The 22,517-nt window shown below is 35.8% G+C and overlaps 1 annotated feature.

The window, feature by feature from the left end:
• Positions 1,499-2,048: an enhancer, noted in NCBI's record as "OCT4-NANOG hESC enhancer chr11:54928734-54929283 (GRCh37/hg19 assembly coordinates)". NCBI's record gives its function as "activates a minimal SCP1, AML or CMV promoter by ChIP-STARR-seq in primed H9 embryonic stem cells {active_cell/tissue: H9 hESC(primed)}" and the evidence as "EXISTENCE:reporter gene assay evidence [ECO:0000049][PMID:30033119]".

The raw sequence follows: 22,517 nt of genomic DNA, 5'->3' as shown, positions 1-22,517 counted from the left end.
CTACACAGAAGCTTTCTGAGAAACCTCTTTGTGATGGTTGCACTCATCTCACAGAGTTGAAACTTTCTTTTAATTGAACATTTTGGAAACAATCTTTTGGTAGAATCTTCAAAGGGATTCTACTGAGTGGTCTGAGGCCTATGGTGAAAAAGAAAATATCTTTGCAAAAAACTAGACAGAAGCTTTCTGAGAAACTTCTGTCTGATGTTTGCATTCATCTCACAGAGTTGAACCTTTCCTTTTAATTGAGCAGTTTGGAAACAGTCTTTTTGTAGTATCTGCAAAGGATATTTGGGAGCCCTTCGAACCCTGTGGTGAAAAAGGAAATACCTTCACATAAAAATTACAAAGAAGCTTTCTGAGGAACTTCTTTGTGATGTTTGCATTCATCTCACAGAGTTCAATCTTCCTTTTGATTGAGCTGTTTAGAAAGATTCTTTTTGTGGAATCTGCAAAGTGATATTTGAGGGTGCTTTGAGGGCTATGGTGAAAAAGGAAATATCTTCACATAAAACCTAGACAGAAGCTTTCTGAGAAACTTCTTTGTGATGTGTGCATTCATGTCAAAGAGTTGAAATTTTCTTTTCATTGAGCAGTTTGGAAACAGTCCTTTCTAGAATCAGCAAAGTGATATTCGGGAGCCCTTTGAGGCCTATTTTGAAAAAGAAATTATCTTCACATAAAAACTAGATAAAATTTTTCTGAGAAACTCTTTTATGATGTGTACATTCATCTAGAAGAGTTGAACCTTTCTTTTGATTGAGCAGTTTGGATACAGTCTTTTTGTAGAATCCACAAATTGATAATTGGGAGCCCTTTGAGGCCTATGGTGAAAAAGGAAATACCTTCACATACAAATTAGACAGAAGATTTCTGAGTAACTTCTGTGTAATGAGTGCATTCATCTCACAGAGTTGAACTTTTATTTTGCTTGAGCAGTTTGGAAACAGTCTTTTTGTAGAATCTGCAAAGGGATATTTGGAGCCCTTCTAGGCCTATGGTGAAAAAGGAAATATCTTCACATAGAAACTAGACAGAAGCTTTCTGAAGAACCTCTTTTTGATATGTGCATTCCTCTAACAGAGTTGGATATATATTTTGATTGAGCAGTTTTGAAACAGTCCTTTTCTACAATCTGCAAAGGGATATTTGGGACCCCTTTTAAGCCCCCATTGAAAAAGGAGTTATCTTCACTTTAAAACTAGACAGAAATTTGCTGAGATACTCTTTTGTGATGTTTGCATTCATCCCGCAGAGTTGGACCTTTCTTTCAGTTGAGCAGTTTGGATGCTGTCTTTTTCTAAAATCTGCAAAGGGATATTTCAGAGCGGTTTGAGGTCTATGGTGAAAAAGGAAATATCTTCACATAAAAACTAGACAGAAGCATTCTGAGAAACTGCTTTGTGATGAATGCATTCATCTCAGAGAGTAGAAACTTTCTTTTGATTGAGCAGTTTGGAAACGGTCTCTTGGTAGAATCTGCAAGGTGACATTTCTGAGCAGTTTGAGGCCTATTGTGAAAAAGGAAGTATCTTTGCAAAAAACTAGAAAGAATCTTTCTGAGAATCTTCTTTGTGATGTGTGCATTCATCTCGCAGAGTTGAAACTTTCTTTTAATTCAGCAGTTTGGAAACAGTCTTTTTTTAGAATCTGTAAAGGATATTCAGCAGCCCTTCAAGTCCTATGGTGAAAAAGGAAATATCTTCACATAAAAACTAGACAGAAGCTTTCTGAGGAACTTCTTTGTGATATGTGCATTCATATCATAGAGTTGAAACTTTCTTTTTATTGAGCAGTTTGGAAACAGTCTTTTTGTAGAATCTGCAAAAGATATTTTGGAGCCCTTTGAGTTCTATGGTGAAAAAGGAAATAACTATGCATAAAAACTTGACAGAAGGTTTCTGAGAAACTTCTTTGTGATGTGTGCATTCAACTCAGAGTTGAAAATTTCTTTTGATTGAGCAGTTTGGAAACAGTCTTTTTCTTGAATCTGGAAAGGGATGTTAGGGATCCCTTTGAAGCCCACTGTGAAAAACGGACAGAAACCAGACAGAAACTTTCTGAGAAACATCTTTGCGATGTGTGCATTCACCTCACAGACTTTAACCTTTCTTTTGATTGAGCAGTTTGGAAACAGTCCTTTTCTAGAATCTGTAAAGGGATATTTGGGAGCCCTTTGAGGCCTATATTGAAAAAGTAATTATCTTCACATAAAAACTAGACAGAAACTTGATGAGAAACTCTTTTTTGATGTGTGAATTCATCTCGCCGAGTTGAAACTTTCCTTTGATGGAGTGATTTGGAAACATACTTTTTGAGGAAGATGCAAGGTGATATTAAAGGGAGCTTTGAGGCCTATGGTGAAAAAGGAAATATCTTCACATAAAAACTAGAGAGAAACTTTCTGAGAAACTTCTTTGTGCTGTGTGCATACATCTCACAGAGTTGAAACTTTCTTTTGATGGAACAGTTTGGACACAGTCTTTTTGTAGAATCTGCAAAGGGATATTTTGGAGTGGTTTGAGGACTATGATGAAACAGGAAATATCTTCACATAAAAACTAGACTGAAATTTTCTGAGAAACTTCCTTGTGATGTGTGCATTCATCTCACAGAGTTGAATCTTTTTTTATTGAGCAGTATGGAGACATTCTTTTTGTAGGATATGTAAAGGGATATTTGGAAGCTCTTTGAGGCCTATGGTGAAAAAGGAAATATCTTCATATAAAAACTAGACAGAAACTTTCTCAGAAACTTCTTTGGGATGCGTACATTAATCTCACAGATTTGAACATTTCTTTTGATTGAGAAGCTTGGAAACCATCTATTTGTAGAATCTGCAAATGGATATTTCAGAGCGGATCGTGGCATACTTTGAAAAAGGAAATATCATCACATGGAAACTAGACAGAAGCTTTCTGAGAAACTTCCTAGTGATGTGAGCATTCATATCACACAGTTGAACTTTTCCTTTCATTGAGAAGTTTGGAAACAGTCTTTTTGGATAATCTTCAAAGTGATATTTCTGAGCGGTTTGAGGCCTAATGTGAAAAAAATGAAATATCTTCACATAAAAACTAGACAGAAACTTCCTGAGAAACTTCTTTGTGATGGGTGCATTCATCTCCCACACTTGAACTATTCTTTTGATTGAGCAGTTTGGAAACCGTCTTTTTGTAGAATCTGCAAAGGGATATTTCTGAGTGGATTGAAGCCTACGGTAAAAAAGGAAGTACCTTCACATAAAAGCTAGACAAAATCATTCTGAGTAACTTCTTTGTGATACGTGAATTCATCTCACAGAGTTGAACCTTTCTTTTGATAGAGCAGTTTGGAAACCATCTTTTTGTAGAATCTGCAAATGGATATTTGGTATCCCTTTGATGCCTGTGGTGAAAAAGGAAATATCTTCACATAAAAACTAGACAGAAACATTCTGAGAAACTTCTTGTTAATTTTTCCATTCATCTCACAGAGTTGAACCATTCTTTTGATTGAGCAGTTTGGAAACCTTCTTTTTGTAGAATCTGCAAAGGGTTATATCTGAGTGATTTGAGGCCTATGGTGAAAAAGGAAATATCTTCAAATGAAAACTTCACAGAAGCTTTCTGAGAAACTTCTTTGTGATGTGTGCATTCATCTCACACAGTTGAACCTTTCTTTCGATACAGCAGTTTGGAAACAGTCTTTTTGTAGAGCTTGCAAAGGGATATTTGGGAGACCTTTGAGGTCTATGGTGAAAATGGAGATATCGTCATGTAAATATCGGACAGATGCTTTCTCAGAAACTTCTTTGAGATGTGTGCATTCATCTCACAGAGTAGAAACTTTCTTTCAATTGAGCAGTTTGGAAACAGTATTTTTGTAGAATCTGCAAAGGGATATTTGGGAGCCCTTTGAGGCCTATGGTGAATAAGAAATATCTTCACATAAAAACTAGAGAGAAGCTTTCTGAAAAACATCTTTGTGATGCCTGCATTCATCACACATAGTTGAAACTTTTTTTTGATTGAACAGTTTGGAAACAGTCTTTTTGTAGTATCTGCAATGGGATATTTGGGAGTCCCTTGAGGCCTACGGTGGAAAAGGAAATAACTTCACATAAAAACCAGACAGAAGATTTCTCATAAGTTTCTTTGTGATGTGAGCTTTCATCTCACAGTGTTAAATATTTCTTTGGATTGAACAGTTTGGAATCATTGCTTTGCTACAATCTGTAAAGGGATATTTGGGAGCCCTTTGATGCCTATTTTGAAAAGGATTTATCTTCACATAAAAACTAAACAGAAATTATCTAGGATACCCTTTTGTGATGTGTGCATTCATCTCGCAGATTTGAACCTTTCTTTTGATTGAGCAGGTTGGCAACAATCTTTTTTGGAATCTGAAAAGTGATATTTCATGTCACTTTGAGGCCTATGGTGAAAAAGGAAATATCTTCATATGATAACTAGACAGCAGCTTTCTGAAAAACTTCTTTGTGATGTGTGCATTCACCTCACAGATTTTAAACTTTCTTTTGATTGAGCAGTTTAGAAATAGTCTTTTTGTAGAATCTGCAAAGGGGTATTTCTGAGCGATTTTAGGCATATATTGATAAAGGAAATATCTTTGCAAAAAAACAGACAGACGCTTTCTGAAAAACTTCTTTGTCATACGTGCATTCATCTCACAGAGTTGAACCATTCTTTTGATTGAGCAGCTTGGAAACAGTCTTTTTATAGAATCTGCAAAGGGATATTTAGGGTGCATTGTGGTCTATGTTGAAAAAGGAAATATCTTCACATAAAAATTAGACAGAAATTTTCTGCAAAATTTCTTTGTGATGCATGCATTCATCTCACAGAGTTAAATCTTTCTTTTGATTGAGCAGTTTGGAAACAGTCTTTTTGTAAAATCTGCAAAGGGATATTTGGGATCCCTTAGAGGCCTGTGGTGAAAAAGGAATTATCTTCACATAAAAACTAGACAGAAGCTTTCTAAGAAACTTCTTTGTGATGCTTGCATTCATCCCACAGAGTTGAACCATTCTTTTGATTGAGCAGTTTGGAAACTGTCTTTTGTAGACTCTGCAAAGGAATATTTGAGTGCCCTTAGAGGCCTATGGTGAAAAGGGAAATATCTTCACATAAAAACTGGACCGAAGATTTCTGAGAAACTTCTTTGTGATGTGTGCATTCATCTCACAGAGGTGAAACGTTCTTTTGATTTAGCAGCTTATGTCTTTTTGTAGAATCTGCAAAGGGATACTTGAGGTTGCTTTGAGGCCTATGGTGAAAAATGAAATATCTTCACAATAAAACTAGAGAGAAGCTTTATGCAAAACTTCTTGGTGATGTGTGCATTCATCACACAGAGATGAGCCTATCTTTTCGTAGACCGGTGTGGAAACTGTCTGTTTGTAAAATCTGCAAGGGGATATTTTGGATCCCTGTGAGGCCTATGGTGAAAAAGGAGATATATACACATAAAAACTAGACAGAAGCTTACTGAGAATCTTCTTTCCATTGCATGCATTCATCTCACAGAGTTGAAACTTTGTTTTGATTGAGCAGTTTGGAAACATCCTTTTTGTAAAATCTGCAAAGGGATATTTGGGAGACATTTGAGGTCAATGGTGAAAAAGGAAATATCTTCACATAAAAACTAGACAGAAGATTTCTGAGTAAATTATTTGTGATGCTTGCATTCCTTTCACAGAGTTGAACCTTGCTTTTGATTGAGGAGTTTGGAAACCATCTTTTTGTAGCATCTGCACAGGGATAATTGGGATACCTTTGAGGCCCATGGTGAGAAAGGGAATATCTTCATATAAAAACTAGAAAGAAGATTTCTGAGAAACTACTTTGTGATGTGTGCTTTCACCTCACAGAGTTCAACCTTTCTTTTCATTGAGCAGCTTGGAAACAATCATTTTGTTGAATCAGCAAAGGGATATTTGAGGAGGCTTTGAGGTCTATACTAAAATGTAAATATCTTCACATAAAAACTAGAGAGAAGCTTTCTTAGAAACTTCTTTGTGATGTGTGCATTCATCTCACAGATTTGAAGATGTGTGAATTCATCTCACAGAGATGAAACTTTCTTTTCATTGAGCAGTATGGAAAGACTCTTTTTGTAGAGTCTGCAAAGGGATATTTCTGACATGTTTGAGACCTGTGGTGAAAAAGGAAATGTCTTCACATAAAAACCAGACAGAAGCTTTCTGAGAAACTTCTTTGTGATGTGTGCATTCATCTCACAGATTTGAAGATGTATGAATTCATCTCACAGAGATGAAACTTTCTTTTGATTGAGCAGTATGGAAAGACTCTTTTTGTACAGTCTGCAAAGGGATATTTCTGACATGTTTGAGACCTGTGGTGAAAAAGGAAATGTCTTCACATAAAAACCAGACAGAAGCTTTCTGAGAAACTACTTTGTGATAAGTGCATTCATCTCACAATGTTGAACATTTTTTTGAATTAGCGGTTTGGAAACATTCTTTTTATAGAATCTGCAAAGGGACATTTGGGAGACCTTTGAGGCCTATGGCGAAAAGGGAAATATATTTATATAAAAACTAGACAGAAGCTTTCTGAGATATTTATTTGTGATGCGTGTATTCATGTCACAGAGTTGAAATATTCTTTTGATTGAGCAGTTTAGAAAGAGTTTTTTTTTTGTAGAATCTGCAAAGGGATATTTGGGAGCCCTTTGAGGCCTGTGGTGAAAAAGAAAATATCTTCACATAAAAACCAGACAGAAGCTTTCTCAGAAACTTCTTTGGAATGTGTGCATTCATCTCACAGGGTAGAAACTTTCTTTTGATTGAGCAGGTTGGAAACAGTCTTTTTGTAAAGTCTGCAAAGAAATATTTCTGAGTGGTTTGAGGCCTACGGTGATAAAGTAAATATCTTCACAAAAAAACTAGACAGAAGCTTTCTGAGAAACTTCTTTGTGATGTGTGCATTCATCTCACAGATTTGAAGAAGTGTGCATTCATCTCACAGTGTTGCAACTTTCTTTTGATTGCACAGTTTGGAAACAGTCTTTTTGTGGGATCTGCAAAGGAATATTTCTACGCGGTGTGGGGCTTATGGTGAAAAAGGAAGTATCTTCACGTAAAAACTAGACAGAAGCTTTCTGAGAAACTTCTTTGTTTTGTGTTCCTTCAACTGACAGAGTTGAAACTTTATTTGATTGAGCAGTGTCAAAACAGTCTTTCTGTAGAATCCGCAAAGAGATATTTGACAGCATTTTTGGGCCTATTTTGAGAAATGAAATATCTTCACATACAAACTAGACAGAATCTTTCTGAAAAACTTATTTGTGATGCGAGCATTCATCTCACAGAGTTGAAACTTCTTTTGATTGAGCAGTTTGGAAACAGTCTTTTTGTAGAATCTGCAAAGGGATATTTCTCAGTGGTTTGAGGCCTATGGTGAAAAAGGAAATACCCTGACAAAAAACTAGACAGAAGTCTTCTGAGAAACTTCTTTGTAATCTTTGCATTCAACTCACAGAGTTGAAACTTTCTTTTGATTGAGCAGTTTGGAAAGAGTTTTTGTAGTATCTGCAAAGGGATATTTGGGAACCCTTTGAGGCCTATGGTGAAAAAGGAAATATCTTCACAGAAAAACTAGTCAGAAGCCTTCTCAGAAACTTCTTTGTGATGTGTGTATTCATCCCACAGAATTGAACCTTTCTTTTGATCAAGCAGTTTCAAAGCACTCTTTTTCTACAATCGGCAAAGGGATATTTGGGAAATGTTTGAGGCCTATTTTGAAAAAGAAATTTACTTCACATAAAAACTAGACCGATTTTTTTCTCAGAAATTGTTTTGTGGTTTATGCATTCATCTAGAAGATGTGAACCTATTTTTGATTGAGCAGTTTGGAAACAGTCTTTTTAGAATACGCAAAGGGATGTTTCTGAGATATTTGTGGCCTAAGGTGAAAAAGGAAATATCTTCACATAAAAACTATACAGAAGCTTTCTGAGAAGCTACTTTTTGATGTATGCATTCATCTCACAGAGTTGAAACTTCCTTTTGACTGAGTAGTTTGGAAACAGTCTTTTTCAACCATCTACAAGTGATTTTTGTGAGCTGTTTGTGGCCTATGTTGAAAAAGGAAATATCTCAACATAAAAACTAGACAGAAACATTCTGAGAAACTTCTTTGTTATGTGTGCATACATCTCACAGAGTTGAACCTTTCTTTTGATTGAGCATTTTGGAAACAGTCTTTTTCTATAATCTGCAAAGGGATATTTTGGAGCCCTTTGAGGACTATGGTGAAAAAGGATATATATTCACATAAAAACTAGACAGAATATTTCTCAGGAACTTCTGTGTGATGTGTGCATTCATCTCACAGAGTTGAACGTTTCTTTTGATTGAGCACTTTGGAAACAGTCTTTTTCTAGAATCTGCAAAGGGATATTCCTCAGCAATTTGAGGCCTAAGGTGAAAAAAAGGAAATATCTTCACATAAAAAATAGACAGAAGCTTTCTGAGGAACTTCTTTGTGATGTGTCAATTCATCTCAGAGAGTTCAACTTTTCTTTTGATTGGGCAGTTTTGAAGCAGTCTTTTTGTAAAATCTGCGAACTGACATTTGCCATCCCTTTGAGGCCTATGGTGAAAATGAAATATATTCACATAAAATCTAGACAGAAGTTTTCTGAGAAACTTCTTTGTGATGTGTGTATTCATCTCCAAGAGCTGAACCTTTCTTTTGATTAACAGTTGGGAAACCATCTTTTTGTAGAATCTGCAAATGGATATTTCTGAGCAGTTTGAGACCTATGTTGAAAAAGGAAATATCTTCACATAAAAACTACACAGAAGCTTTCTGAGCAACTTCTTTGTGATGTGTACATTCATCTCATGGAGTTCAAACTTTCTTTTGGTTGAGCAGTTTGGGAACAGTCTTTTTGTAGAATTTCCAAAGGGATGTGTGGGAGCCCTTTGAGGCAAATGGTGAAAAATGAAATATCTTCACATAATAACTACAGAGAAGCATTCTGAGATACTTCTTTGTGGTACGTGCATTCATCTCACAGAATTGAAATTTTCTTTTGATTGAGCAGTTTTGAAACACTCTTTTTGGAAAATCTGAAAGTGGATATTTGTAGCGTTTAGAGGCCTATGGTGGAAAAGGAAATATCTTCAAATAAAAACTAGATAGAAGCTTTCTGAGAAACGTTTCTGTTATCCATGAATTCATCTCAGAGTTGAAACTTTCTTTTGGTTGAGCAGTTTGGAGACAGTCTTCTTTTCAATCTGCAAAGTGATATTCTGAGCGGTTTGAGGCCTATGGTGAAAAAGGAAATATCCTCACAGAAAAACAGAAAGAAGCTTTCTGAGAAACTTTGTGATGTGTGCATTCATCTCACAGAGTTGAACCTTTCTTTTGATTGAGCAGTTTGGAAACAGTCTTTTTGTAGAATCTGCAAAGGGACATTTGGAAGCCCTTCGAGGCATATGGTGAAAAAGGAAATATCTTCACATAAATAGTAGACAGAAGCTTTCTGAGAAACGTCTTTGTAATGTATACATTCATCTCAAAGAGTTGAAATTTTCTTTTTATTGAGCAGTTTGGAAACAGTCTTCTTGTAGAATCTGCTAAGGGACACTTCAGGGTGCTATGAGGCCTACCATGGAAAGGAAATATCTTCAGATAAAAAATAGACAGAAGATTTCTGAGAAACTTCTTTTTGATGTGTGCATTCATCTCACAGAGTTGAACCTTACTTTTGATTGAACAGTTTAGATACAGTCTTTTTGTAGAATCTGCAAAGGGATATTTAGGAACCCCTTGAGCCCCATGGCAAAAAAGAAAATATCATCACCTAAAACGTAGACAGAATCTTTCTCAGAAACATCTTTGTGATGTGTGCATTCATCTCACAGAGTTGAAACTTTCTTTTGATTGAGCAGTTCGGAAACAGGCATTTTATAGGATCTGCTAAGGGATACTTCTCAGCTGTTTGAGGCCTATGGTGAAAAAGGAAATATCTTCATATAAAAAATAGACAGAAGCTTCCTGAGAAACTTCTTTGTAATGTGTGCATTCATCTCACAGAGTTGAAACTTCCTTTTGATTGAGCATTTTGGAAAGAGTCTTTTTCTAGAATCTGCAATGTGATATTTCTGATTGCTTTCAGGCCTATGGTGAAAAAGGAAATATGTTCACCTAAACACTAGACAGGAGCTTTCTGAGAAACTTCTTTATGATGTGTGCATTCTTCTCACGGAGTTGAACATTTCTTTTCATTGAGCAGTTTGGAAACAGTCTTTTTGTGGAATCTGCAAAGGGATTTTTGAGGGTGCTTTGAGGCATATGGAGAAAAAGGAAATATCTTCACATAAAAACTAGAAAGAAACTATCTGAGCAACTGCTTTGTGATGCATACATTCATCTCACAGAGTTCAAACTTTCTTTTGATTGAGTAGTTTGGAAACAGTCTTTTTCTAGAATCTGCAAGGGGATATTTCTGAGCCGTTTGAGGCCTATGGTGAATAAGGAAACATTTTCACATAAAAACTAAACAGAAACTTCCTGATAATCTTCCTTGTGATGTGTGCATTCAACACACAGATTTGAAATTTTGTTTTCAATGAGCAGTTTGGAAACAGTATTGTTGTAGATTCTGCAAAGGGATATTTGGGATCCCTTTGAGGCCTATGGTGAAAATGAAAATGTCTTCACATAAAAACTACACAGAAGCTTTCTGAGGAACTTCTTTGGATGTGTGCACTCATCTCACAGAGTTGATCCTTTGTTTTGATTGAACAGTTTGGAAACAGTCTTTTTGTTGAAGTTGCAAAGGGATACATGGAAGCCCTTTGAGGCCTATGCTGAAAAAGTAAATATCTTCACATAAAAGCTAGACACGGACGGGCACGGTGGCTCATGCCTGTAATTCCAGCACTTTGGGAGGCCGAGGCACATGGATCACGAGGTCAGGAGATCGAGACCGCGGTGAAACCCTGTCTCTACTAAAAATACAAAAAGTTAGCCGGGTGTAGTGGTGGGTGCCTGTAGTCCCAGCTACTCGGGAGGCTGAGGCAGGAAAATGGTGTGAACATGGGAGGCGGAGCTTGCAGTGAGCCAAGATCACGCCACTGCACTCCAGCCTAGGTGACAGAGTGAGACTCCGTCTCAAAAAAAAAAAAAAAAAAGCTAGACACAAGCTTTCTCAGAAACTTCTTTGGGATATGTGCTTTCATCTCACATAGTTGAACCTTTCTTTTGATTGAGCAGTTTGGAAACAGTCTTTTTGTAGAATCTGCAAAGGGATATTTCTGAAAGGTTTGAGGCCTATGGAGAAAAAGGAAATAACGTAATATAAAAACTAGACAAAAGTTTTCTGAGAAACATCTTTGACATGTGTGCATTCATGTCACAGAGTTGAATCTTTCTTTTGTTTTATCAGTTTGGAAAGAGTCTTTTTGTAGAATCTGCAAAGGGATATTTCTGAGCAGTTTGAGGCCTATGGTGAACAAGGAAATATCTTCACATAAAAACTAGACAAAAGCTTTCTGATAAACTTCCTTGTGATGTGTGCATTCAACTCACAGATTTGAAATTTTGTTTTCAATGAGCAGTTTGGAAACAGTATTTTTGTGGATTCTGCTAAGGGTTATTTGAGATCACTTTGGGTTCTATGGTGAAAAAAGAAATATCTTCACATAAAAACTAGATAGAAATTTTCCTAGCAATTTCTTTGTGATGCATACATTCATCTCACGGAGGTGAAATTTTCTTTTGATTGAGCAGTTTGGAAACAGTCCTCTTGAACAATCTGCAAAGGGACATCTCTGAGCTGTTTGAGGCCTATGGTAAAACAGGAAATATCTTCACATAAAAACTGGACAGAAGATTTCTGAGAAACTTCTTTGTAATGAGTGCATTTATCTCACAGTGTTGAACTTTTCTTTTGATTGAGCAGTTTGGAAACACTCGTTTTGTAGTAACTGCAAATGGATATTTGGAGCGCTTTGAGGCCTATAGCTGAAAAGGAAATATCTTCACATAAAAACTAGACAGAAGATTTCTGACAAACTTCTTTTCAATGAGTGCATTCATCTCACAGTGTTGAACCTTTCTTTTGATTGAGTAGTTTGGAAATACCCTTTCTGTAGAATCTGCAAAGGGAAATTTCTGGGCGCTTTGAGGCCTATGGTGAAAAAGGAAATATTTTCACATAAAATCTAGACAGAAGATTTCTGAGAAACTTCTTTGTGAGATGTGCATTCATCTCATGGAGTTCAAATTTTCTTTTGATAGTACAGTTTGGAAACACTCCTTTTGTATAAAATGCAAAGGGATGTTTAGGAACTCTTTGGGGCCTATGGTGAAAAAGGAAATATCTTCACATAAAAAATAGCCAGAAGCTTTCTGAGAAACTTCTTTGTGATACGTGCATTCATCTCACAGATTTGAAACTTTCTTTTGATTAAACAGTTTGGAAACTGTCTTTTTGTAGAATCTGCAAAGGGATATTTGGGAGCCCCTTGAAGCCCATGGTGAAAAAGGTAATATCTTCAAATAAAAACTAGACAGAATCTTTCCGAGAAACTTCTTTGGATGTGTGCATTCTCCCACAGAGTTGAACTTTTCTTTTGATTGAGCAGTTTGTGAAAAGTATTTTTCTAGAATCTACAAAGGGATATTTCTGAGCATTTTGAGGCCTACAGTGAGTAAGGAAATATCTTCACATAAAAACTAGACGGAAGCTTTCTGAGAAACTTCCTTGTGATGTGAACATTCAACTCACAGAGTTGAAATTTTCTATTGAATGAGCAGTTTGGAAACAATATTTTTGTAGAATCGGCAAAGGGATATTTGGATTCCCTTTGAGGCTTATGGTGAAAAAGGAAATATCTTCACAAAAATACTAGACAGAAGCTTTCTCAGAAACTTATTTCTAATGTGTGCATTCATCTCACAGAGTGGAACCTTTTCTTTGATTGAGCATTTTGGAAACAGTCTTTTTGTACAATCTGCAAAGGGATATTTCTGAGCGTTTTGAGCCTTATGGTGAAAAAGGAAATGTCTTCACATAAAAACTAGACAGAAGCTTTCTGAGAAACTTCTTTGTGATGTGTGCCTTCATCTCAAAGTGCTGAACCTTTCTTTTGATTGAGCAGTTTGGAAACAGTCTCTTTGTCAAATCTGCAAACAGATATTTCTGAGTGCTTTGAGGCGTATGGTGAAAAAGTAAATATCTTCATATAAAAACTAGACAGAATATTTCTGAGAAACTTCTTTGAAATCAGTGCATTCATCTCACAGAGTTGAACCTTTCATTTGATGGAGCAGTTTGGAAACAGTCTTTTTCTAGAATCTGCAAAGGGATATTTCTGAGCAGTTTGAGGCCTATGGTGAAAAAGTAATATCTTCATATAAAAACCAGAGGGAAGTTTCTGAGAAACATCGTTGTGATGTGTGCATTCATCTCACAGAGTTGAACCTTTCTTTTGATTCAACAGTATGGAAACACTCTTTTTCTAGAATCTGCAAGGGGATATTTCTGAGCAGTTTGAGGCCTTTGTTGAAAAAGGAAATATGTTCAACTAAAAACTAGACAGAAGCTTTCTGAGAAGCTTCTTTGTGATCTGTGCATTCATCTCACGGAGTTGAAACTTTCTTTTCATTGATTAGTTTGGAAACAGTCTTTTTGTAGAATCTGAAAAGGGATATTTCTGAGCAGTTTCAGGCCTATGGTGAAAAAGGAAATATCGTCACAAAAAAATAGAAACTTTCTGATAAACTTCTTGGTGATGTGTGCATTCCTCTCCACCAGTTGAACCCTACTTTTCATTTAGCAGTTTGGAAATAGTCTTTTTGTAGAATCTGCAAATGGATATTTTGGAGCCCTTCGAGGCCTATGGTGAAAAAGGAAATATCTTCACATAAAAACTAGACAGACGCTTTCTGAGGAACTTTTTTTGATGTGTGCATTCATCTCACACAGTTGAATTTTTCTTTTCATTGAGCAGTTTGGAAATACTTTTTGTAGAATCTGCAAAGGGACACTTATGGGCGCATTGAGGCCTATGGTGGAATAGGAAATATCTTCACATAAAAAGTAGACAGAAGCTCTCTGAGAAACTTCTCTGTGATGCATGCATTCATCTCACAGAGTTGAAATTTTCTTTTGACTGCGCAGTTTGGAAACAGTCTTTTTCTAGAATCTACAAAGGGATGTTTGGGAGCCCTTTGAGGCCTATGATGAAAAAGGAAATATCTTAACATAAAAACTAGACAGAGCTTTCTGAGAAACTTCTTTGTGATGTGTACATTCATCTCACAATGTTGAAAGTTTCTCTGATTGAGCAGTTTGGATACAATCTTTTTGTAGAATCTGCAAAGGGAAATCTGGGAGCCCTTTGAGGCCTATGGTGAAAAGGAAAATATGTTCACAAAAAACTAGACAGACGCTTTCTGAGAAACTTCTTTGTGATGGGTGCCTTCAGCTCACAGTGTTGAACATTCCTTTTGATTGAGCAGTTTGGAAACAGTCTTTTTGGAGAACCTGCAAAGGGATATTTGGGATCCCTTTGAGGTCTCTGGTGAAAAAGGGAATATCTTCACATAAAAACTAGACAAAAGTTTTCTGAGAAACTTCTTTGAGATGTGTGCATTCATCTCACAAAGTTGAACATTTCTTTTGATCTAGCAGTTTTTCAACAGTCTTTTTGTAGAATCTGCAAAGGGACATTTCTGAGCGGATGGAGGCCTATGGTGAAAAAGGAAATACCTTCACAAAAAACTAGACAAAAGCTTTCTGAGAAACTTCTTTGTTATGTGTGCATTCATCTCATAGAGCTGGACCTTTCTTTTGATTGAGCAGTTTGGAAACAGTCTTTTTCTAGAATCTGCAAAGGGATATTTCTGAGCGGATTGAGGACTATGGTGAATAAGGAAATAACTTCACATATAAAGTATACAGAAACTTTCTGAGCAACTTCTTTTTGATGTTTGCATTCTACTCATAGAGTTGAATTTTTCTTTTTATTGAGCAGTTTGGAAACAGTCTTTTTTAGTATCTGCAAAGGGGAATTTTGGAAACCTTTGAGGCCTATGGAGAAAAAGGAATATCTTCACTTAAAAACTAGCTTTCTGTGAAACTTCTTTTTGATGTGTGCATTCATCTCACACAGTTTGACCTTTCTTTTGTTTGAGCAGTTTGGAAACAGTCTTTTTCTACAATCTGCAAAGGGATATTTCAGAGCAGTTTGAGGCCTATGGTGAATAAGGAAATATCTTCACATAAAAACTAGACAGAAGCTTTCTGAGAAACTTCTTTGTGATGTGTGCATTCAACTCACAGAGTTGAACTTTTCTTTTGATTGAGCAGTGTGGAATGTCTTTTTGTAGAATATGAAAAGGGATATTTGTGAGCCCTTTGAGGCCTGCAGTGAAAATGGAAATATGTACACATAAAAACTAGACAGAAGCTTTCTGAGAAACTTCTTTGTCATATGTGCATTCATCTGACAGTTTTATCTTTCTTTTGATGGAGCAGTTTGGAAACAGTCTGTTTCTACAATCTGCAAAGGGATATTTCTGAGCAATTTGAGGCCTACGGTGAATAAGGAAATATCTTCAAATAAAAATTAGACAGAAGCATTCTGAGAAACTACTTTGTGATGTGTGCATTCAACTCACAGTGTTGAACTTTTGGTTTGATTGAGCAGTTTGGAAAGTTTATTGTAGAATCTGCAAAGTGATACCTGTTAGCCCTTTGAGGTCTATGGTGAAAGTGGAAATATGTTCATATAAAAACTGGACAGGAGCTTTTTGAGAAAATTCTTGGTGATGTGTGCATTCATCTCTCAGATTTGCAATTTTCTTTTGATTGAGGAGTTTGGAAACAGTCTTTTTGTAGAATCTTCTAAGGGATGTTTCTGAGTGGATTGAGGCCCACGGTGAAAAAGGAAATATCTTCACATAAAAAGTAGACAGAAACTTTATTAGGAACTTCCTTGTGATATGTGCATTCATCTCATAGAGTTGAACCATTCCTTTCATTGAGCAGTTTGGAAAATGTATTTTTCTAGAATCTGCAAAGGGATATTTCTGAGTGATTTGAGGCTTAAGGTGAATAAGGAAATATCTTCACATAAAAACTAGACAAAAGCTTCCTGAGAATCTCCTTTGTGATGTGTGCATTTATCTCACTGAGTTGAACCTTTCTTTTGATTGTGCAGTTTTCTAACAGTGTTTTTGTAGAATCTACTAAGGGATATTTCTGTGTGGTTTGAAGCCTATGGTGAAAAAGGAAATATCTTCCCATAAAAACATTCAGAAGCATTCTGAGAAACTTCTTTGAGATGTTTGTATTCAAATTACAGAGTTAAACTTTTGTTTTATTGAGCAGTGCAGGAACATTCTTTTTGTAGAATCTGCAAAGTGATATTTGGGGGCACTTTGAGGCCTCTGGTGAAAAAGGAAATATCTTCACGTAAAAACTAGACAGAAGCTTTCTGAGAATCTTCTTTGGAATGTGTGAATTCAACTCACAGTGCTGAACTTTACTTTTGATTGAGCAGTTTGGAAACAGTCTTTTTGTAGAAACTGCAGCAGAATATTTGGGATCCCTTTGAGGCCTATGGTGAAAAAGGAAATATCTTCACATAAAAACTAGACAGACGCTTTCTGAGGAACTTTTTTTGATGTGTACATTCATCTCACACAGTTGAATTTTTCTTTTCATTGAGCAGTTTGGAAACAGCCTTTTTGTAGAATCTGCAAAGGGATATTTGAGGGCGCTTTGAGACCTGTGTTGAAAAAGGGAATATCTTCACATAAAAACAAAACAGAAGCGTTCTGAGAAACTTCTTTGTGATGCGTGCATTCATCTCAAAGAGTTCAACATTTCTTTTGATTAAACAGTTTGGAAACAGTCTTTTTGTAGATTCTGCAAATGATATTTGGGATCCCTTTGTGTCCATGTTGAAAAATTGAATATCTTCACATAAAAACCAGACAGAAACATTCTGAGAAACTTCTTTGTGATGTGTGCATTCATCTCACAGAGTTCAAACTTTGTTTTCATTGAGGAGTTTGGAAACAGTCTTTTTGTAAAATTTGCAAAGGAATATTTCTGAGCTGTTTGAGGCCTGTGGTGAAAAAAGAAATATCTTCACATAAAAATTATACACAAGCTTTCTGAGAAACTTCTTTGTGATGTGTGAATTAATCAGACAGAGTTGAACTTTTCTTTTGATGGAGCAGTTTGGAAACAGTCTTTCTGTAGAATCTGCTAAGGTGTATTTTGGTATTCCTTTGAGGCTTATGGTGAAAAGGGAAATATCTTCACATAAAAACTAGACAGAAGCATTCTGAGAAACTTCTCTGTGATGTGTGCATTCATCTCACAGAGTTGAAACTTTCCATTGATTTTGCAGTTTGGAAACACTCTTTTTGAAGAATCTGCAAAAGTATACTTGTGAGCGGTTTCAGTTCTATGGTGAAAAAGGAAATATCTTCATATAAACACTAGACAGAAGCTTTCTGAGAAACTTTTTTGACATGTTTGCATTCATCTCACAGATTTGAACCTTTCTTTTGATTGAGCAGTTTGGAAACTGTCCTTCTGTAGAATCTGCAAAAGGATATTTCTGAGCCATTTGAAGCCTATGGTGAATAAAGAAATATCTTCACACAAAAACTAGACAGAAACTTTATAAGAATCTCTTTGTGATGTGTGCATTCATCTCACAGAGTTGATCCTTTATTTTGATTGAGCAGTTGGGAAACAGTCTTTTTCTAGAATCTTCAAAGTTATAATTCTGAGCTTTTTGAGACCTAAGGTGAAAAAGGGAATATCTTCACATAAAAACTAGACAGAAGTCTTCTGAAGAATTTATTTGTGATTTGTGCATTCTTCTCACAGGGTTGAACCTTTCTTTTTATTGAGCAGTTTGGAAACAGTCTTTTTGTAAAATCTGCAAAGGGATATTTCTGAGTGGTTTGAGGCCTGTGGTGAAAAAGTAAATATCTTCACATAAAAATTACACAGAATCTTTCTGAGAAACTTGTTTGTGATGTGTGCATTCATCTGACAGAGTTCAACTTTTCTTTTGATTGAGGAGTTTGGAAACAGACTCTTTGTAGAATCTGCAAAGGGATATTTGAGGGTGCTTTCAGCCCTATGGTGAAAAGGTAAACATCTTCACATAAAAACTAGACAGAAGCTTTCTGACAATCTTTTTTGTGATGCTTGAATTCATCTCACAGAGTTTACACTTTCTTTTGATTGAGCAGTTTGGAAACCATCTTTCTGTAGAATCTGCAAAGGTATATTTGGGAGCCCTTTGAGGCCTATGGTGAAAAGGGAAATATCTTCACATAAAAACTAGAGAGAAGCTTTCTGAGAAACTTCCTTGTGATGTGTGCATTCATCTATCAGAGTTGAACCATTCTTTGGATTGAAGAGTTAGGAAACAGTCTTTTTGTAAAATCTGCAAAGGGATATTTGGGAGTCCTTTTTGTCCTATGGTGAAAAGGGAAATATCTTCAAATAAAAACTATATGGAAACTTTCTGAGAAACTTCTTTGTGATGTGTGCATTCATCTGACAAAGTTGAATCTTTCTTTTGATTGTGGAGTTTGGAAACATTCTTCTTGTAGAATCTGCAAAGGGATATTTCAGGGCACTTTGAGACCTCTGGTGAAAAAGGAAATATCTTCACATAAACCCCTGAAAAAACCTTTCTGAGAAACTTCTTTGTGATGTGTGCATTCATCTCACAGAGTTGAAACTTTCTTTTGATTGAGCAGTTAGGAGACAGTCTTTTTGTACAATCTGGAAAGGGATATTTGGTATCCCTTTGAGGCCTATGGAGATAAAGGAAATATCTTCAAATAAAAACTAGACAGAAGCTTTCTCAGAAAGTTATTTCTGATGTGTGCATTCACCTCATAGAGTTGAATGATTCTTTTGATTGAGCTGTTTGGAAATCGTCTTTTTCTAGAAACTACAAAGGGATATTTGTGAGCGATTTGCAGCCTATGGTGAAAAACGAAATGTCTTCATTAAAAATTAGACATAAACTTTCTGAGAAACTTCCTTGTGATTTGTGCATTTATTTCATAGAGTTGAACCTTTCTTTTGATTGAGCAGTTTGGAAACAGTCTTTTTGTAGATTCTGGAAAGGGATATTTGTGAGGCCATTAAGGCCTATGGTGAAAAAGGAAATATCTTCACATAAAAACTAGACAGAATCTTTCTCAGAAACTTCTTTTTGATGTATGCATTCATCTCACCGAGTTAATACTTTCTTTTGATTCAGCAGTTTGGAAACAGTCCTTTTGTACAATCGGCAAAGGGATATCTGTGAGCATTTTGAGGCCTATGGTGAAAAAGGAAATATCTTCATATAACAATTAGACAAAAGCTTTCTGAGTAACTTCTTAGTGATGTCTGCATTCATCTCACAGTGTTAAACCTTTCTTTTGATTGAGAAGTTTGGAAACTGTCTTTTTATAGAATCTGGAAAGACATATTTGTGAGTGGTTTGAGGCTTATTGTGAAAAAGGAAATATCTTCACACAAAAACTAGACAGAAACTTTCTGAGAAACTTTTTTGTGATGTGAGCATTCAGCTCACAGAGTGGAAACTTTCTTTTGATTGACCAGTTTTCAAACATTCTTTTTGTAGAACCCTCAAAGGGATATTTTTGAGTGGTTTGTGGCCTCTGGTGAAAAAGGAAATATCTTCATATAAAAACAAGACATAAGCGTTCTGAGAAACTTCCTTGTGATGTGTGCATTCATCTCACACAGTTGAACCTTTCTTTTGAATGAACAGTTTGGAAACATTCTTTTTGTAGAATCTGCAAAGGGATATTTGTGAGGACTTTGAGGCCTATGGTGAAAAAGGAAATTTCTTCACATAAAAGCCAGACAATAAGCTTTCTGAGGAACTTCTTTGTGATGTGTACATTCATCTCAAAGAATGAAACTTTTGTTTCCATTGAGCAGTTTGGAAACAGACTTTTTATAGAAACTGCAAAGGGGTATTTGTGAGCAGTTTGAGGCCTATGGTGAAAAAGGAAGTACTTCATATAAAAATTAGGCAGAAGCTTTCTTAGAAATATCCTAGTGATGTGTGCATTCATTTCACGGAGTTGAAGCTTTCTTTTGATTGAGCAGTTTGGAAAGAGTCTTTTTGTAGAATCTGGAAAGGACAAATATTTTGTGAGACATTTGAGGCCTATGTTGAAAAAGGAAATATCTTCACGTAAAACCTAGACAGAAGCTTTCTGAGAAATTTCATTCTGATGTGTGCATTCAGCACACAGAGCTGAAACATTTTTTTGATTGAGAAATTTGGAAGGAGTCTTTTTCAACAAACTGCAAAGGGATATTTGTGAGCGAATTGAGGCCTATGGTGAAAAAGAAATATCTTCACAAAAAAACTAGATGGAAGGTTTCTGAGAAACTTCCATGTGATGTGTGCATTCAACTCACATATTTGAACCTTTGTTTTGATTGAGCAGTTTGGAAACAGTCTTTTTGTAGAAACTACAAAGGGATATTTGTGAGTGGTTTGTGGCCTATGTTGAAAAAGGAAATATCTTCATATGAAACCTAGATATAAACATTCTGAGAAACATCCTTGTGATGTGTGCATTCATCTCACACTGTTAAACCTTCCTTTTGATTGAGAAGTTTTGAAAATCTCTTTTTATAGAATCTCCCAATGGATATTTTTGAGGGCTTTGAGTCTTATGTTGAAAAAGTGAATATCTTCACATAAAAACAAGACAGAATCACTCTGAGAAACTTCTTTGTGATGTGTGCATTCATCTCACGGAGTTGAACTTTTCTTTTGATTGTGCAGTTTGGAAACCATCTTTTTTATTATCTGCAAAGGGATATTTGTGATGCCTTTGATGCCTATGGTGAAAAAGGAAATATCATCACATAAAAGCCAGACAGATGCTTTCTGACAAACTTCATTTTGATGTGTGCATTCACCTCATAGAGTTGAACCTTTTCTTGATTGAGCAGTTTGGAAAGAGTCTTTATGAAGAAACTGCAAGGGATGTTTGTGAGCAGTTTGAGTCCTATCGTGAAAAAGTAATACCTTCAAAAACAAAGTAGACAGAAGCATTCTGAGAAACTTCTTCATTATTTGTGCATTCATCTCACAGAGGTGAAAGTTTCTTTTGATTGAGCAGTTTGGAAACAGTCTTTTGTAGAAACTGCAAAGGGATATTTGTGGGGCCTTTGAAGCTTATGGTGAAAAAGCAAATATCTTCACATGAAAACTAGACAGAAGCTTTCTGAGAAACTTCTTTGTGATGTGTGCATTCATCTCACAGAGTTAAACTTTCTTTCGATTGAGCAATTTTGATACAGTCTTTTTGCAGAAACTGCAACGTTATATTTTTCAGTGGTTTGTGGTCTATGGTGAAAAAAGAAATGTCTTCATATAAAAACCAGACAGAAGCTTTCCAAGAAACTTCCTTGTGTTTTGTGCATTCATTTCAAATAGTTGAATCGTTCTTTTGATTGAGCAGTTTGGAAACAGTCTTTTTGTAAAATATGGAAAGGAATATTTTTGAGGCCTTTGAGGCCTATGGTGAATAAGGAAATAACTTCACATAAAAACTAGGAAGAAGCTTTCTGAGAAAGTTCTTTCTGATGTATGCATTTACTGCACAGAGCTGAAACTTTCTTAGGATTGAGAAGTTTTGAAACAGTCTTTTTATAGAAACTGCAAAGAGATATTTGTGAGCAGTTTGAGGTCTATGGTGAAAAAGAAATATCTTCACATAAATACAAGACAGAAGCTTTCTCAGAAACTTCATTGTGATGTGTGCATTCAACTCACAGAGTTAAAACTTTCTTTCAATTGAGCAGTTTGGAAACAGTCCTTTTGTAGAAATTACAATGGGATATTTGTGAGCCCCTTGAGTCTTATGGTGAAAAAGGAAATAACTTTATATAAATACTAGACATAAGCTCTCTGAGAAACTTCCTTGTGATGTGTGCATTCATCTCAGAGAATTGAATCTTTCTTTTGAATGAACAGTTTGGAAACGGTCTTTTTGTAGTATCTGCAAAGGGATATTTGTGAGCGGTTTGAGGACTATGGTGAAAAACGACATATCTTCACTTAAGAATTAGACAGAAGCTGCCTGAGAAACTGTTTTGTGATGTGTGCATTCTTCTCACAGAGTTGAAACTTTCTTTTGTTTGACCAGTTTGGAAACAGTCTTTTTGTAGAATCTGCAAAGGGATATTTTTGAGTACTTTCAGGCCTATAGTGAAAAAGGAAATGTCTTCACATAAAAACTAGACAGAAACTTTTTGATAAACTTCTTTGTGATGTGTGCATTCATGTCACAGAGTTGAAACTTTCCTTTGATTGAGCAGTTTGGAAACAGTCTTTTTGTAGAAACTGCAAGGGGACATTTGTGAGGCGTTTCAGACCTATGGTGAAAAAGGAAATATCTTCACATAAAAACTAGACAGAAGCTTTCTGAGTATCTTCTTTGTGATGT

The sequence above is a fragment of the Homo sapiens genome, chromosome 11, assembly GCF_000001405.40.
Source record: "Homo sapiens chromosome 11, GRCh38.p14 Primary Assembly".
Classification (NCBI taxonomy): Eukaryota; Metazoa; Chordata; class Mammalia; order Primates; family Hominidae; genus Homo; species Homo sapiens.
Note: the sequence above shows the minus strand (reverse complement) of the source record. Positions and strands in the feature narration are given on the sequence as shown.